We start from the raw sequence: 19,167 nt of genomic DNA on the forward strand, positions 1-19,167 counted from the left end.
ACTTATGTATTATTTAGGTCATTTCTGTAGACAGTAGGGGCTCAATTCCACCAAAACCTCGGAGAAGCACAAAGAATGTCTCCTGAATTCATGTTGAAGAACAGGAGACTGTGCACTGACTGACTTTAGCCCCGACTGGTCGAGAGTTGCTCCCAGGGGTATTAACTCACTGACACTTCTGGGCTGCGCTTGCACTTGGACTAGGTACAAGGCTTCCAAAGAAACCTAGAGGCAGAAAAGGCATTATGCATACAATGGTACAGGAAATAGATCCTACCAGCATACATGGAACTGTCCACCACAGCTGCAGCTGCAGCTGCAACCAGAGGTAGGCCAAGGGTGCACCAAAGGATCTGCGACAACCAGCATGACAGAGCCAGGCATCACATTTGAAAAGCATACTCACAACGCACAGGTTGCTTGCTTTCCATCTCAAAATTGCTAAGAGAGTAAATTTCAAATGTCTCACCACAAAAAAAAAGTTAAATATTTGAGGTGATGGATATGTTAACTACCTTGATTTAATTATTTCACATTGTATTAATAAATCATAACATCACTTTGGACCTCATAAGTTCATACAATTATAAATTGTCAATTTACAATAAAAAAATTTTAAAAATCATTTGTGCAAATTCACCCCCTTGGAGATAAAAGTGGCAATGAAAAAATGTTTAATTATTCATCAGAACTATCAGAACTTATTTTTCCCACTCTTTTTTTTTTTTTTTTTTTTTTTTTGAGACAGAGTTTCGCTCTTGTCTCCCAGGCTGGAGTGAAATGGCACAATCTTGCCTCACTGCAACCTCTGCCTCCCAGGTTCAAGCAATTCTCCTGCCTCAGCCTCCCCAGTAGCTGGAATTACAGGTGCATGTCACCATGCCCGGCTAATTTTTGTATTTTTAGTACAGTTGGGGTTTCACCATGTTGGCCAGGCTGGTCTCGAACTCCTGACCCCAGATGATCTGCCCACCTTGGCCTCCAAAAGTGCTGGGATTACAGGCATGAGCCACCATGCCCGGCCTCCCACTCATCTTTTAAGATGCTGCTCAGGTTCTACATCTTCCAGAAACCTTCTCTGGCTCCCCCTGGCTAGATTAGATGTCGCATTTCAATGCCTCCATAACTCTTTGTGCACTTCTTTGCCACTGTACTTATCTGATTGCATTTTAACTAGCAATATATTTATCTATCTCTTCCACCAGACTGTTTTAGTCGTCTTGGAATGCTATGTTCTCATTTGGCACATAGGAGTTAACTAAATGTTTGTTAAATGGATGAATGAAGGAGTAGTGAGTGAACAACTGATTAAGGAAATAAGAATGTAACGCAAGCCAGGAAATAGTAGGAGGAGACAAAAATAGGGAGAAATGAAGGAATAAAGCACAGGAAATTCAGTCTGAAATTAGATTTTCCTCATTTTAATATATTTTTCTGAATTACCAATATGCTTTCAATGCATCTTACTTGAATATTTTTTTTCCTGTTTTTTTTTTCAGAGCACCACTGAAGAAAGGCATAGCAGGTGATATCCACTGGGACAAATACATACTACCTCCATTTTTCCTTGAGGTTTGAAGAGATAGGCTTGGGGTAAGACAGGTGGAGATCAACATATCATTTTGATTACTTGTAAAGCAGCTATTGGAAAATGCCACTTATGTCTGGGAAAAATACTACATCCCAGAATTAGACTGACATTCCCACTCAGGTGTGGACCACTGCTGGCGATCTGTGTGAGGTCTGGTCCTATAACACTGGCTTAGAGACAAGGGTGCTTCCTGTGGGTAACTGGTCCCAAGAGGAGGAGAGGAGGAAGCATGGGGCTCCCAAATTCAGCAGGTAGGTCACTCCCTTCCCTAGGGTAGAGTGTGTGGATGCAGAGGGTCAGGAGAGTTATACTAACTGATGTCCCTTCACACAGAAGAAAACCCCAGAAGTAGGGAATAAATATTACTGTGAAAGATACTCATTTTATGATTAAGACAAAACAAGTTACTCCCACCAGGATGTACTTATTTTTACAGAAAGGGGAAGCCAGCATGTAGAGTAATTTTTACAGTAAGCAGGTTCAAGTTCAACAGCAGGAGAAAGAGACCAGAAGTTAAAGAAACAATATATGTTCACTTTCACACTAGAGAAACGATCTAAATCTATAATTTAACACTTTTAACATTTTTTAAATAAAATAAACTTTTTTGGAGGAATAATTATCACATGGTACAAATTTCGAAAGGTAAAAAGTGTGAACAGTGAAAAGTCTCTCTTCTATCCTGACAACTACTTTCAGAAGTTATTTTTCTAATTATATGTCATCAGAGATATGTTTTATTTCATTTGCCTTTTCCTCTTGATTTGAAGAGTTCAAGGTCCTCAATTTACAAATGAATTTTTAGAGTATAATCTGCTTGCAAGTCATTTGGAATTCAGATTGCATCGCAAATTTCTGTTTCGGGTTTCTTAAGGTAGTTCACTAACAGTACCCCTAGGCATTGGAGGACACAGCACTCATGGGTCCTACAGCTCTAGCTTTGTTCTGAACTACTAGATTAGAGGGGGCAATGACTATTGTGCACATAAGTATCTTTAACTTATAGAGACAATCTATTAAAAAGTTGAAAATCTGTTTAATTACATACAATGGTACCTTCTCTCCTCTTGGTTGCAAATGATACAACTTGAAAAGGAAATATTTTTCACAGTCATTTTTTACTTCAAAGAAGTATGAATATTTCTTTTATAGTATGTTTCAAAACTAATTCACCATCATGATATGTGACAAATATTTTGACTGGGAAAACCAGAGTAGGGATATTTGAAAGATTCTTATCCCAGAAATTGAGACAGCCACCCATCAAGTAATTAAGCCAAATATTTTCTTTTCTCACTCACTCAATTTACTGACCAGATACATTAGGGCAAGGAGTATGCTTGGAGAGGAGTCAGACAGTCTTGAGGGATGAAGCAGATGTGGAAATGAGCAAGGTTCATGGAGTGATACAAAGAAGGAAGTAGTAAATTCTACCCGGAGCTGGGGATGAGGGTTGGAGAGAGGAGGGCACTCAAGAGGCCTCAGTGAGTGTGACCCTTGAAAGGAGACCTCCTTCTGTAGTTCCTACAAAAAGCATAGGCACAGAGCAATGAAACAACCTGCTGTGCCAGGGAACTGCAACTAGGCGGGGCTTTTCTGGCATAAGGAATATGGGGTGGAGTGTGGGAAGAGGTGAAGGTCTGGAGGCTTCTGACCTTCCAGGATTCATGTGGATGCCTTACATCTTAGCCCATCCATCACAATCCTCTGGAAAACTAAAATAAATTATTATTCTTTCTTCTATTACTAATTAGTTTTGTTTTAAGCATATCAACTTATTGTTAATCATTCATACAGGAGGTTACAAAAGGAAAAGTCAAAGCTGTTTTTGCCACTTCTATATCTAACCACCTAGTCCTACTCAGCTGTAGAATATGTTACAAAAACTCTCAGAAGTGCTTATAGGTATCAAGCATTATTTCTTCTGTCTGCTTATTATGTATTTATATAAGACTATTGACTTATTTATATTAATTTTGTATGCTACCTGTTTACCAAATTCTCTTATTATTTATATTAATTTCTCCATTTACTTTTGTTTTCTTTTTTCTCTCTTTTGAGACAAGGTCTTGCTCTATCACCCAGGCTGGAGTGCTGTGATGCAATCACTGCTCACTGCAGCCTCAACCTCCAGAGCTCAAGTAATCCTCCCACCTCAGCCTCCTGAGTAGCTCAGACAACAGGCAAGCTAATTTTTAAATTTTTTTGTAGAAACAGGGTCTCCCTATATTGATCTGGCTGGTCTTGAACTCCTGGGCTCAAGTGATCCCACCTCATCTCCCAAAGTGCTAGGATTACAAGAAATGTGGGCCACTGAGCCAGGCCTATTTTTTGTTTCCTAGATATGTAATCACATCATCTGGAAAGAGATAGTTTTTTATTTTCCTTCTGATTCTTGTGTAATTAAATGCTTTCTCCCAGCCAGGGCAACATGGCAAAACCTCATCTACAACAACAACAACAACAAAAATAGTCAGGCTTGATGGTACAACTGATGTCCCAGCTACGTGGGAGGCTGACGTGGGAGGATCACCTGAGCCAGGGCAGTGAGCCATGATTGCACCACTGCTCTCCAGCTTGGGTGACAAAGCAAGAGCTTGTCTCAAAAAAAAAAAAAAAAAAAAAAACTTTCTCATATAATTGTATTGGCTAATCCCTGTTTCCAAGGCTTAATAGTAATGGACATGGTGGTCATCTTTGTCTTCTTACTACTTTTAATAATGTTTTTCCAGCCAGGTGCAGTGGCTCATGCCTGTAATGCCAGCACTTTGGGAGGCCAAGGCAGGTGGATCACCTGAGGTCAGGAGTTTGAGATTAGCCTGGCCAACGTGGCAAAACCCCATCTCTACTAAAAACACAAAAATTAGCTGGGCGTGATGGTGCGTGCCTGTAATCCCAGCTACTCAGGAGGCTGAGACAGGAGAATCACTTGAACCCGGGAGGCAGAGGTTGCAGTGAGCCAAGATCGTTCCCAGCCTGGGCAACAGAGCAAGACTCCATCTCAGAAAAAAAAAAAAAAAAAAAAAAATTTTCCATTAGGTGGGAAGCTGGCTTTGGCTGAAATAGCCATCAATTTCTATTAATTGAGTATTTTTAACATAAATGCATGTTGAATTTTGTTTGCCAAATACCTTTTTGGCATTTATGGCAGCAGCAATCTGATTTTTTTCCTTAGCTTTATTAATATGATTAATTGTATTAATTGATGCTCTACTAAGGAACCACTCTTGTATTCTCGGAATACATTTTATAATAATACTTATATATTATTATTAAATACTGAAGAAGTGTCATTTTCTGGGGTAAATACCTGAGGTTCATTATCTCATGCCAAGGGAATTGAGGACGTGAACACACAAGAAGTGAGTTTAAGAGCAGAATTTTAATAGGCAAAAGAAAGAGAAAAGAGACTAGATCTCTCTCTTGCAGACCCCTAACTGGATCTTCCAGTTTCGTGGTGAAATGCATGAGGTTTCACAGAGGAGCTTGAGGATGTGGTGTCTGATTTACACAGGGCCCGAGAGAGATTGGTTGGACTAGGTGTGACGTTTGCATAGCACATGAGAAAGCTGGCCATACCACCCTAATCTTTTATTATGCAGATGGACTCTCCACATGGCTGGCGCCATGTTGTCTGTTCCTTACTGTACATATCGTTGACAAAGAAAGGGGAAGATGGAGCCTCCATATTGAACATGCTTGGCCCCCAGGTAGCCTTTTTCTTCTATTGGCACAGCTGCTGGTATTTACCTATGCAAGCTTTTAGCTTGCTTATCTATGCTTGCAGCTTGATTTTTCAGGCTGCTTTTTGTTAGGAAAAGAAAGGATTTGGGGGCTGCTTTTTATAAAAAAGAAAACCTTACCGAGGACTTTCTTACTTCACTATCTGCCTAAATAGATTCTTTTTAACTCCTATGTCAATATGCCATTGGTCCTCTTTGCTAATTTTTAAGATTTTTTATGCCTCATAAGTGAGATTAGTTTATGGTTTTCTTAAAAGATTTTTAGAAGTTTTCTTACTTTTCCAGTACTCTCAACTGGATAAAATAGCATTCCAATGATCTCATCTTTTATGGTTTGATAGAATTCCCCTGTGAATCTATCTTTTTAAAATAATGATTTCTCAGTTCTACCCCAGTTCTACAGAATGTGGAGGCCCAGAAATAAAAATATTTTAAAAGTCTTCGCCTGCCACCCCCATCTCAAACCCATCCCTCATCCATAGGGTCTGCATTTTAGAAACACCATAGGATACGGAAATCTATTTGGTGTTTTTAAGCGACTACAAAGTACACTAAAACTGTAGTGTTCAGGATGGATTAGGGAAGGAGACAAGATTGGGCGAGGAAAGAACATATAGAAAGCTGTTTGGAGTAATACAAAGTGAGAAATGGTGATATCACAAAACTAAGCTATAGCAGTAGTGATGGACAGGAGAGACATATGAGAAAGACATTACAATGACAGAAGCAATAGGTATGCCTACCGATTATATGTTGAAGAATAGAGGAAAATAAAGGACAAAGATGACTCTAGTATATGCACAAAGAGGAAACAATCCAAATGTCCATCAACTAGTAAGTAAATAAATGTGGTATAGACATACAATGGAACATTGTGCAGTAACTAAAAGGAAGTACTGATACATGCTACAACATGAATAAATCTTGAATACATTATGCTAAGTGAAAGAACCCAGTCACAAAAGATCACATGTTGTACGATTCCATTCATATAAAATTTTCAGACTAGGCACTCCATAGCTACAGAAAATAGATTTGTGATTGCCTAGGATTGAGGTAGAGGAGTAAAAAACGGGGAGTGACTGCTGATGGATATGGAGTCTCTTTTTGGGTTATGAAAGAAAATAAATCACTCAGCCAAAGGGAAAAGTCAAGCTGAGACTGCATCAGGCAAACCTGCTCCTGTTTTATTCCTAAATTAGATAGCTACAAAGATAAAAAAGCTATTAGGTTGGTGCGAAAGCAGTTGTGGTTTTTCCTATGTTTAAATGGCAAAAACCACAATTACTTTTGCACCAACATAATACATACCTCCCTCACACTTTGCCCACAAGAAAATTCCTTGTGAGACTCAAGATTTTTACCCTAAAACAGTTATGCTGTATTTTACCTTGGCAACGTAAATTGGTAGCTAATCTTCACAGGTGCTGGATAAAGGACTGATGTCACAGTCATTCCCCTGCTCACCTGAGACAAATGCATATCTGATTGCTTCCTCTGCCTTATTGTTTATGTACAAATCACTGAGCCAGACTAAGGCATAAGTGACTATTCTTCTACCCACCTCTCACGTGTAAATTGTGTATTCAGTGAAAGGCTAATCAGAGACTCAAAAGAATGCAACTCTTTGTCTCTTATTTACCTCTGATCCCTCCTGCCTTTCTGGAGTGAACCAATGTACATCTTACACATATTGATTGATCTCTTATATCTCCCTAACGTGTATAAAACCAAGCTGTGCCCTGACCCCCTTGGGCACATGTCATTGTAACTGCCCAGTGGGTTCACCTTGCCTGCTGCCTGGCCAGAGCCGATTTATCAAGACAGGGGAATTGCAATAGAGAAAGGGTAATTCATGCAGAGCCAGCTGTGCAGGGGATCGGAGCTTTATTATTACTCAAATCAGTCTCCCCGGTTAGGTGTCTTTCACTGTCTCAGTCATAATTTTCCAACGGCAGTGTCATCATCAGGACCTCCAGAGGCTTTATCATGGGCACGTCCTTAAACCTGGCAAAATAAACTTTCTAAATTGATTGAGACCTGTCTCAGATACTTTCTGGGTTCACAGGAGTGGTGAAAATGTTCTAAAATTAGATTGTGGTGATAGTTGCCAGTCCTGTGAATATACTAAAAACCACTGAATTGTAAACTTTAAAACAAAGGTGAACGGTATGGTATGTGAATAGTAATGTTACGTGAATTGTGCCTTATTAAAGCTGTTTGAGACAGAGTTTTGCTCTGTCGCCCAGGCTGTAGTACAATGGCGCGATCTCGGCTCCCTGCAACCTCTGCCTCCTGGGTTCAAGCGATTCTCCTGCCTCAGCCTCCTGAGTAGCTGGGATTACAGGTATGTGCCACCATGCCCAGCTAATTTTTGTATTTTTAGTAGAGATGGGGTTTCACCATGTTGGACAGGCTGCTCTTGTACTCCTGACCTCAGGTGATCCACCTGCCTCGGCCTCCCAAAGTGTTGGGATTAAAGGTGTGAGCCACCTCACCTGACCACTTTTTTTTTTTTTTTTTAAAGTAAAGAAAGAAGTTGGAAGGAAAGCTACTGAACTCAGCTTTAGAAAGGCTATAAATAGTAATTGGAACTATGGAAGGGGATAAAGTTACAAAAGATGAAGACAAGCATGGAAAGTTATAGAATCATGGGTACATTCACACTCTAGCACATTATCCTGAAATTCTATATTGAAATAAACTGAGCTCTTAAGTTTTTTAATACAAGCTGAAATTTCCCTTTGCTTTTCACTTTCTTGTTAAAAAGATACTTGATTTCTTTATCACAACCGATATTCAATGGATTGTTAATTTTAACAACTTAATTGTCATTCTCACATAGTAAAAGAATAACAAACTTTGTATATATATATAAATGCAACCCATTGTCTCTTATCTACCTGTGATCTCTCCTACCTTTCTGGAGTGAACCAATGTACATCTTACACATATTTGTCTCTAAATATATATATATATTTATATATAAATATATATATTGATTGACCTCTCATGTCTTTATATATTATATAATATATATTTATATATAAAGACATGAGAGGTCAATCAATATATTTATATATAAAAAATATATATATATTTAGAGACTCTATATATATGTATTTAGAGACAGAGTCTCATTGTTACCCGGGCTGGAGTGATCACAGCTCACTGTAACCTCAAACTCCTGGACTTAAGTGATCTTCCTGCCTCAGCCTGCCAAGTAGCTAGGACTACAGGCGTGCGCCACCATGCTGGCTAATTGTTTAATTTTTTTGTAGAGACCAGCCCAGGCTGGTGTCAAATTCCTTGCCTTGAACAATCCTCTCGCCTTGGCCTCCCAAAGCCCTGGGATTACAGGCCTGAGCCACCCTGCCTGGCCGTATTTTTAAAACCTTTATCTGGAAATGATGTTAAAAGAGTTACTTTCAAACACCAGTGAGAGGAAAACACTTCTCCTCTATGACTGGCTTCTCTCTGAAGGTTTATGAAAGTTTGACCTATTTGTAGGACATGGGGGTAATTGAATAGGGTGTACATTAAGATGAATGAGTTTAAAATTGTGAGGTTAACCCCAGCCTCACAATGAGTCAAACAATGGAGAATAGCTTGTTTCATGGAGCTGAAGCTTTTGTTATTTTTGTTGGTTAAAGATTCAAATTGATTACATGGAGGCTGCAAGCAGATTCTCTAGCAAATTGGCATCCTGGGGAGAGCCAGGTACTTTGAAAATTTCTAATTAGGAGAAGTTAAAGGTTATATAAGCCCAGCTGCCAAACTGACTGCCTGACCTTAAAATCCAAACAGAATCTACCTTCCTTTCCTTCCTTCTTCTCCTTAGCCAAGACCTTACCTAGAAATGAATTTTAAAATGCAAACAGGAACTTCTGTGATAAACCAAGTCTAAGAACTAGAAGGAAGCTTATTAGTTACAGTTGAACAGACTCTAATGGCTATTCAAAGTCTTTAAGCATTCACAGCCTTAAGTAGTCACACATTTGGCTTCAGTTTCAACTAATCCAGCTAGAGGACAAAAACATTCAGTAAATTATACCGTATCCATAGAATTTTTGTTCCTTAAGCATATTTACTGCATGTATTAGTCTGTTCTCACACTGCTATAAAGAACTACCTGAGACTGGGTAATTTATGAAGAAAAGAGGTTTAATTGACTCACAGTTCTGCAGGCTTAACAGGAAGCATGACTAGGAGGCCTCAGGAAACTTACAATCATGTTGGAAGGTAAAGGAGAAGCAAGCATCTTCCTCACATGGTGGCAGGAGAGAGAAGGAGCAAAGGGGGAAGTGCCACACACTTTTAAACCATCAGATCTCGTGAGAACTCACTATCATGAGACCAGCATGGGGGAAATCCACCCCCATGATCCAATCACTTCCCACCAAGTCCCTCTCGTAACACTGGGGATTACAACTCAACATGAGATTTGGGTGTGGACACAGAGCCAAACTTATCACTACATTTTTAGAAACAGGATAATTTAGGTATGGAGTTATAGATCCTATGGAAAAATCTAGTCAAGACCACGATGAATATGACTTAATTTTATAAATGATGTTTATACTCCTGCCAAAAAAAAAAAAGCCAAGTAGATCATTGATTTCTTACAAGTTATTTTACCAATTGTGGTTTAGAAAATATTTCTAATCCAATTGTCACCTATCTTTACCTGTAGAAACAAATGTGGTCACACACTTTACCTGTAGAAACAAATTTAGGTCACACATTGTATAAATTATAATGGGATTCAAATTTTATTTTCTTTAAACAGTAGCTATTTTTCTTCAAAATGGTCCTGGTTATTTCTGGGAGTCCCTGAACATATGCTTTCCTCATATTCACAAACCAATCTATCAGCTTTAATCACTACTAGAATCATCCACCCACTTAATTAATAGGTACTGAGTGCATACTATGTGAGAGGATACAACAGAGTCCTACAGAAATCTCTGTCCTGGCCCTCTTGGAGCATCCCTAGTATTTTTTCTTGTCTGCTCCAGTTCTCATCTGTCAACATGAAGTCCTGGCAAGCAGCTGGAAGAAATTTTTATCACTGCCTTCACTGAGGAAGTCCACTGCGAAACACTTGACCAAGAATGTGCTGAGAATACTGTCTCCCAATGTCTCCAAAGTCCCCATCACATGTGCCAGAACAATACTGGATTCCACAGGGAGGTGGGAAAAAATGGCCCTCTCCAACTCTGTGTCACTCTTTGACATCTGGGCCCCAAAGCAAGTCCTGTTCATGAAAAAAAATATTCTGTAGTTCTAGGGGCTCACAATCCACCCAATGGCCTCAGTGTCATGTTATCGTCTCCATTATCCTCATCACCCCTCTTCCCTGCCCCAAGCTATTACCAAACAAAAGCACCCAGCAATGTCAATGAGAGAAAATGTACAGTGGGTGCTGGTGGTTGTTTTTATACTAGGAGTGTCTGGACGCCAGCTGAAATGGCCTGTGACATTGTGTAGCATAATTCAAAAGTTTGGCCAGCAATCCTGCATACAAAATGCAACCACTTGAAGGTTTTGCCCAGAGCTATGGCAATAAAGTGCATAGCAGCAGTTCAGTGAACTTTCTCCATTCTTCAGCCTGCGCAAAGCACTGGCTGATGTAGCCAGATATTGTTGTCCATGGCTTTAATTATTTAGAAGTAGATATGAATAATAGGGAGCTTGAAGTTGTCTAGAGCTTGGTGTGGTGCTGGCTCAAAATAGCAACTAATTCCTATGTAAGTTTAAAAGAGCTTGGTATGGGTAACCTCTAGAAGATCCCAAGCCAAGTAGAAAATGTGGTCAGGAAAAGGATTCAGCCCTTGAATATTGAGAAATCATGTTGTCACAGAGAACACGTGACAACTTCCATGTGCAAACAAAACATAACAGATAACAGGCCATTCAGAAACTGTTACTGAGGGACTTGCTCTTGGAAGGCTGAGGATAAATTAAAATAAATCCAACCAACACCAAGTCTGACTTGACACGTAGGTGAGGCAGAAAGCTGAAAAAAAAAAAAAAAAAACTTCCAGAATTGGAGTCTTGGATAATTTTAAATGGTCTCATTCAAAAGTTCCTATTCTATAGTAAAAAAGAGTTCAACATAGGGCTATGATATTTCTAAAACAGGACTTGAATGTGGATCAGATGGCTGAAATTTTGATATTTCTAGTATTTTGCTCAGTTTTGTTCTTCCCATCATTTAAATGACCTCAAAGGAAATGTTTACGATCACTAAAGATTTCTAATGCCCAAGAATAGGTCAATTCTCAGCCCAGGGCTTGACAAATTAGCAATTAATTATTGTTTTTATTTTTAAAATATTTATTTAAAAGGCAATGCATATTTGTTTTAGATAATTTTTTTAAATACAGAAGTAAATACATAAGATCAAAAAGGTCTCTTCCAGCCATGTGTGGTGGCTCACGCCTGTAACTCCAGCATTTTGGGAGGCCGAGGTGGGTGGATCACCTAAAGTCAGGAATTCGAGGCCAGCCTGGCCAACATGGCGAAATCCCATCTCTACTAAAAATACAAACATTAGCCAGGCATGGTGGCAGGCACCTAAAATCCCAGTTGCTAGGGAGGCTGAGGTAGGAGAATCACTTGATCCCTGGAGGCGGAGGTTGCAGTGAGCCAAGATTGTGCCATTGCACTCCAGCATAGGTGACAGAATGAGACTTGATCTCAAAAAAAAAAAAAAAAAGTCTCTTCTACTCCTACCCCAATCCCTACTCCCCACAGGTAGCCACCACTACATTTGCAATATATCCTTCTTGTCTTACATCCTGATGCATTTACATCTTCTTTCTAGAATGTGGGTTCATGTTATGTGCAATTTAGCTTTTATCACTAAATAATTTAAATTGGATAGATCCCACTATATTGATTAACATTATTTATCCAATCCCCTTTTGATGGGCATCTGGATTATTTTCAAATTTTGATTATTAGAGATGGTGCTGCAACTAACATCCTTATACATTCATATTTATGCATTATGGAAGCATTCTGGGACATAAACCCCCAGGGGTTGAATTGCTTGGCCAGATGGTATATGCATTTAGAATTTTGATAAATACTCCCAAAATTACCTCCAAAATGTTGGCACCAATTTACACTCCCACCAATGATGACTAAGAGAGCCTGTTTCCCTACACGCTCCTCACACTTTGTATCAAGGCACTGACTAGTTAAATAAAGGAATGTGTCTCTCACTTCAGAAAGACATGGTGATAAAGATCTTGCCTCATTCTCTTATTTTCCTTTATTTTCTCTTTCCTTTTCATAAGTGCCACTTAATCCTAAGGGAAGAAAAAAGAAATACTTGTTTGGTTTTCAGAATGTTCCTCAAAGGTACATGAATTCTGCAAGTTATGAACACCAATCTTATAAACACCCATACCTTACAAATAAACTGCTCATTTATATGTAAAAATTAACTATCCTGAAAGTGGGAAGACAGTCCCTTTTAGATGCTGGAGATGGAAAAATATACTCCTCATATCTCCCTTTGACTAGTCATTGATTCATGCATTCACATATGTATGAGTCCACACATTAGTTCATGCTTGCATCCATGTATACACTTATCTAAGTCAGATAAGTTCTGGGTACCATGCTGATCATTATGGTTGTGGAAGTGAAATACAGTCTCTGCCTTCAAGAAGATCACAGTGTAACTTAGTGGAAAGACAGAACAGGAAACCAACAGTTATAGAGTGAGAAAGTGCTACTTTCAGGTTCATGCAGAGCTCCTGAAGAGCAACAGGGTAGGATTGGCACATATGTGAGAGTGGGCTGCAGACAATGCCAGAAATCTGGTTCTGGGAGGGACCAGGCAACTATCACATCTAACCCAGTTGGGGAGGAGGTGAGTAAAAGACCTCAGGACTGGGAACCCTGAAGGGTACTCTTTGGCTAGAAGTTATATGCAGCAGAAAGTTCCATTTTGTAAGTATTGTTTTGTTTTACTCTTAGTTTTTTAATGAAAATTCCTAAGTGAAGAAAATCTCAACCTTGTCTTTGGATAGGATTTTTATCCCATCTATTAAAACTGCCAGAGATTCAGTGCCTCTGTACCTGTGGGTTGGCAGCTGAACTATTTTACCTTGTTGACATAGAGGAGCCCCATGGAGATGAGGCAATCATGGAAGCTATAAGAAGCCAAGAGGGTGAGAAAAGAGTCAGCTCTAGAATTAACAGTCATCTCATTTCTTGGTATTTATCGTAAGTATGAAATTTATCCTGAGTCAGAGCGGTGGACAAATATTTGTCCTCAAAGATGTTTACTGAAAATGTACATGGGTCAAACTTGGAAACAATCTGAATGTCTGCCCAAAGGAGATAAATACATTATGGTAAGTCCATGAAATGGAATGATATACAGCCATGAAATGGAATAGTCCATGAAATGAAATAATATACAGCCATTAAAATCATATTTTCAAAAATTGGTAAGATAGGAAAATTTTTGTAGTGAAATATTAAGTCAAAAAAGAATGATAGAGTATGAACCTACCTTCATACCGATGATGAATTTTATATATGTGTATCTCTGTATACACATACATATATACATACAGTTTCATTTACATACAAATACTCACAAATATCTATGTATATTTTCTGTCAGGGTAAGGTAATTATGCTACATTAAAAACCTGATAATCTCTGCTGCTTACAACAACAAGGCTTATTTCTCCTTTATACTGCCTGTCCATCTTGAGTCATCAGGGTTGCTGTAATCTTCATAGATACTCAGGAATACATAAAGATGACAGACGCTTCATCTCAAGACAAGCTTCCATGATTGCAGAAATGAAGAACAGAGAACATGGAGACCCACGAGCAGGTTCTTAAAGCTTTGGCCCAGAAGTGACACTCATCAATCCTCCTCATGATTCATTGTTCACAGGAAGTCACATGGCCTCATCTGTGTTCAACAGGACAGGGAAGGGCACCAAGTATTTGTGAGCAATATTACAGTCTACAACATCTATATATCTAAATATTAAGGAGAGGGAGGTAGGGATGAGAAAGAAACTCACTAAAAGAAGTTATTATCACAGGGTGGTGAGCATACAAATAATTTAAATTTTTTCATATACTTCTCAATATTTCTGATTTTTATAAACAAACATGTATTACTTTTACTGCTTGTTTTCTTTATTTCTCTGAGCGATATGTTAATATAGTCTGTAAATAACTGAAACACTCTAGAAGTAAGTATAATGTAAAACAAAATACCCCCTTCGTATCATATCACCCGACTCTAATCCCAACCCCCCAATTCCCACCCCTAGAAGTAATCACTGACTATAGCCTGGTGTATATACTTCCAGATTGTCTTTGTATATGCATTCACAAACATGAATATGAATATACATGAATTTCTCTTAGGAGAGAAAAAATTAAAAACAGCATGAAAATTAATCAATATGCATGCTACTTTAAAAAACTATTTTCTTATAAAGAATGCGTAATTCATCCATACCAGTTCAGTGTTCTTAACAGCTCCCGCCCAACTCATGAACTCATCTGCAAGCAACCCATGCTGTCCACTTCTCTGTGCATTTCCTTTCCTTCTGGGAGTTTTTTCAGCTTTCTGCATCTGTCTTACCTGTTCTCCATTGCTGACTTTTCACTTCGGAGTCTCACTTCACATTGTTACCACCTTGGCTCCCTGACCCTGGCTGGGGGCCATGTTTTCCTGTGGCCCAATAACTTCTAGCCAGCACTGCCTGCTCACAGCCCTGGTGCCAATGTCACCAGCCCAGCTGCTCACCTACCTGGGAAAGGTGTGTGTGATGGGGGTTGTTGGCCTTACATGATAAGACTAGGAGCTATTTGGCACCTAAGCTTACTACACTTAAGGGAAGCTTGAAATAATGACTCATGTGGTGGGGTGTTGGAGTGCATGTGGTTTGAACAAACATATCCAGTATTATGATTTTCATTTGGAAAATAATAAATAAGCCTTCATTTTTGTAAAATTAAAGCTTGGAGACAAATTATAGCAATATCGTTAACAATAGGGGAAACTGGGTATGGGGTAATGGGAATTATCTGTGACTCTTACAATTTTTCTTTGTCTAAAACTATTCTAAAGTTAAAAGTTTATTACTAAAAATCTCTAAAGCTTGCAAAATCTTATTGACTGGTGGGGATACTCAGAAGTCACAGGGATTCCCAATCAGGGGTACAGCCTTTGACACTGTGTGTAGAAAACCCAAATATATAACTTTGTTGGCAACCATTACATGGACTAAAAATTCAGAAATAATCAGAAAAGTAATGTGAACTGGAATATACACTGCATAGAGGGAAATCCTCAGTGTGAACTAGCAAAGGAATGAAATTTAGATTTAGATGATAGGTTTCTATACTTTATTATTTATACCCATTTACTTTCAAAAGAGGTATGAAAATTGCTTACAACAAAACTTCATATTCAATGGAATAGTTAATAATATTGGGAAAAGGCAGAATAGCATTTTTCAACGTATGTTTCATAAAATAGAGATGTTACACGAAAAATAAAGTCTATGTTCAAATAAACTTGAGAAATGTTTAAACCAAATGAAAACAGTATTTCCTCCTTTCAGAATTTTGCTTCCAATGAACATGGTGAATAAACCAGAGAAGGAGGTGTATGCAATCCTCCCTGACTGCAGCATCCTTTCTGCAATGATGAAAATGTTGTATAAGCTGTTAGCCACATTTAGCTATTGAACATTTAAATCGTAGCTAGCGCAACTGCACAACTGATTATTAAATTTTAATGTAAATTTAAATAACCCCAGTGACTACAGTCAACAATAATTTATAGTACATTTTAAAATAACTAAAAGAGTATAATTGGAATGTTTGTAACACAAAGAGATGATAAACGCTCGAGGCGATGGATACTTCATTTACCCTGATGTAATTATTACACATTCAATTGTATGCCTGTATCAAGATATCTCATGTACCCCATAAGTATATACACCTACTATGTACCCATCAAAATTAAAAATTAAAAATAAACAAATACATAACCACATGTGGCTAGTTTAAATTACCCAATATGTTTGGATAGCACAGAAGGAGAGCACCCCAAGGGCCAGACTTTCAAAGAACACACTCTGGGAAGCATTTATATAGAGCAGCTGTTCTCAAACTTTTTGTTCCCAGGATTCTTTGACGCTCTTAAAAAATAACTGAGGATCCCAAAGAGCTTTTGTTCATGTAGGTTATATTTATTAATATTTATGATATTAGAAATTAAAACTGAGACATTTTTAAAAAATCATTAATTCATTTAAAAATACCGTGAGCTGTTTTCCTTGAAGTGACAGGCTCGCTTCATTTATTTTCAGGAAAATACCTGCCAGATACCCTAGTCTGAGTAACCATCCTTCATCTTATCTTTGTGTTTCAAGTGAAAAGGTGTTCCGTGAAAAAGCAGCCAATTCAGCTAGCAGCTCCAGCACTCCAGCAATCACACGGTGCTGGAACCATTGTACTTCAGTATGCAGCACAGGGCTTTGTGTGTGCTTTCATTTCTTCAAGGACTGAGGTTTAATAAAATTGATCATTTTTACTCCATCTTTTTTTTCCCTGCAAGTATGTGACAGTGTAGAATACAATGATAGCCAGTACAGTTCCAGTACACTGACATTTGTGCCAAGGCACCAGCAGATTTATCCACTATAAAACTTGCTTTGGCACCATCAGTGAAAAAGGCAATTCCTCTTAGAATTATAATGAAAATAGATTCTAACTTGTGGACCCTTTCAAAGGGTCTCTAGGACACAAAGGAAGGTGTGCAGACTACCTTTTGAGAAAAGCTAATATAGAAAGAGTGTGGGGGCTGGGGGAGGGGATAAGGACAAGAAGGCAATAAATTCCAGGAACCTGGGCCTTTAATGAGTTTGATAAGAAAACTGGTGAGAGTTCAAACTGTTTATTACACACACTTACCTTAGGAAGACATGGAAACGTTTAAATAGAATCGATCTTTGGAAGTGAGTAGTTGTAGCAAACAAAATGGGGGTACCAGTCTTATCCCCTGAAACGTGGCTAATTATAATAGTTACCCATTTAAGTACAACTTAATAGTATAAATTAATATAAATTGGCTAATATGGTTCCCAGGGCTAATTCTTTACAGATGAAATAAACTGGAAAATGAAATGAGAGAGAATGTCATTTTCCACAGTATTGGTCTATAAAGTGTGGTACTTTAATTTTCTATGGCTCAGAAGCCATTTCAAAATATGATCAAATTCCTTTCCACATTCATTCTTGAGTTTCCACTTCCTGACTTTCTTCCTGTCTTATAATTCAGGAGTTATAACTCCAGGATTTATTTTCCCTCCCACATTAGTGGACTTCAAATCCATTAGGCACCTCTCTTTGTCTCCACAACACACCTGGTTTCTCCTCTTCCTTTCAATGTGATCTTAGAGGCTCACATTTTGAATGATTTTCCTACCCTTATGTCCATCTTATCTCCTTTCGATTTTGTCCAGCAGAAAGTATACTATAATATGTAATGGGAAGTGGCAAGCAAAGGTAATTTAATCAGAGGCTGGTTTTGCCTATCTTTGACTCCCCCTTCACTACACGGCAAAGTTCTCTTGCTACTTAGTTACACAGTTACTTGTTATAGCATCCAGAGATTTTTAATTAAAAAGGCTTTACTTGGGGCGTTACCAATGATAGGAACACAATTTAACAATGAAAGAAATCATTTGTGTTCGTATAACACTTATCCTGAAAGAATTTCAAAGTGCTCTAGAAATATTACCCAGTTCTAATTTCCACAGCCAACACCCTTGCCTTCTGTTTTCTAAGGGAAAGAGGAATTTCCAGTATCTTGTTCCCAGTTGGAAAATAAAGGGTGCGTGCTTCCCAATCACAGACAGGCAAGGCGAATCCGGTTACTCCCTTTCCCTTCCCCAACCGCAGCTCCTGCAGAGTGTAACCCTTTGCGTTCTGTGGCTGGGATAAAGTGCATTCTGATTCATAATTGGTCCCTCAGGGTGCCTGTTTTGCAGCCAACCGATGTTCTTGGATCTTGAATGGTTAACAGCCTGAGTTGCCATTTAAAAAAAGAAAAGAAAAGAAAAAGTGTGCAATTATGTTAATTGTTGCATTTTTCGGTAAAAAAGAAAGTGCAATTATGTTAATTTTCTCAAAATGGGGGATGGGGAATGCTCAAGTAAGGAAAATATTTGCAGAAATATGATACCAATGCAAACCGGTACAAACTAGTTCTTTAAAAAACTAACTATACAAATAATCGTATGCAATAAACAATGTAGGACTCAATTTCATACAATGGCAACAAAAGCTGATCCTACATTAGGAAAGAAACTCAACTGATAGAAATGCTGTCATTAAGAATCTGAAAAACAATTCTCACAGGTTTATGCTATCTTCTCGATATAGTTTGGATATTTGTCCTTGCCCAAATCTCATGCTGAATTGTAATCCCCAATGCTGGAGGTGGGGTGGGAGGTGTCTGGGTCATTGGGGTGGATCCCTCATGGCTTGGCACTCTCTCTCTCTCTCTCTCTCTCTCTCTCACTTGCTCTTGCTCTGGCCATGTGACATGCCTGCTCTCCTTTTGCCTTCCACCATAACTGTAAGCTTCCTGAGGCTTCCCTAGAAGCTGAGCAGAGGCCAGCACCACACTTCCGGTAAAGCCTGCAGAACCATGAGCCAAATAAACCTCTTTTCTTTGTAAATTACCCAGCCTCAGATATTTCTTTATAGCAATGCAAGAACGGCCTAATACACTTCTATATCAAGTCCATAGCAACTTAA

General features: G+C 38.6%; 1 protein-coding gene across 2 annotated transcripts in view, besides 1 other annotated feature; it reads right to left on the reverse strand.

Annotated features, from left to right (window-relative positions):
- Positions 13,010 to 13,119: a silencer, noted in NCBI's record as "silent region_12207". NCBI's record gives its function as "represses an Ori minimal core promoter by ATAC-STARR-seq in GM12878 lymphoblastoid cells {active_cell/tissue: GM12878}" and the evidence as "EXISTENCE:reporter gene assay evidence [ECO:0000049][PMID:35858748]".
- Positions 17,999 to 19,167, reverse strand: part of ANKRD44 (ankyrin repeat domain 44) — a 343,767-nt gene continuing 342,598 nt past the window's right edge. For both annotated transcript variants that reach the window (XM_047446287.1, XM_005246948.3), the window contains exon 28: positions 17,999 to 18,431. In XM_047446287.1, coding sequence (XP_047302243.1) covers positions 18,424 to 18,431 — 8 coding nt within the window. In that variant the 3' untranslated portion in view covers positions 17,999 to 18,423. The remainder of the gene's footprint in view (positions 18,432 to 19,167) is intronic.

Source organism: Homo sapiens, chromosome 2 (genome assembly GCF_000001405.40).
Source record: "Homo sapiens chromosome 2, GRCh38.p14 Primary Assembly".
NCBI lineage: Eukaryota > Metazoa > Chordata > Mammalia > Primates > Hominidae > Homo > Homo sapiens.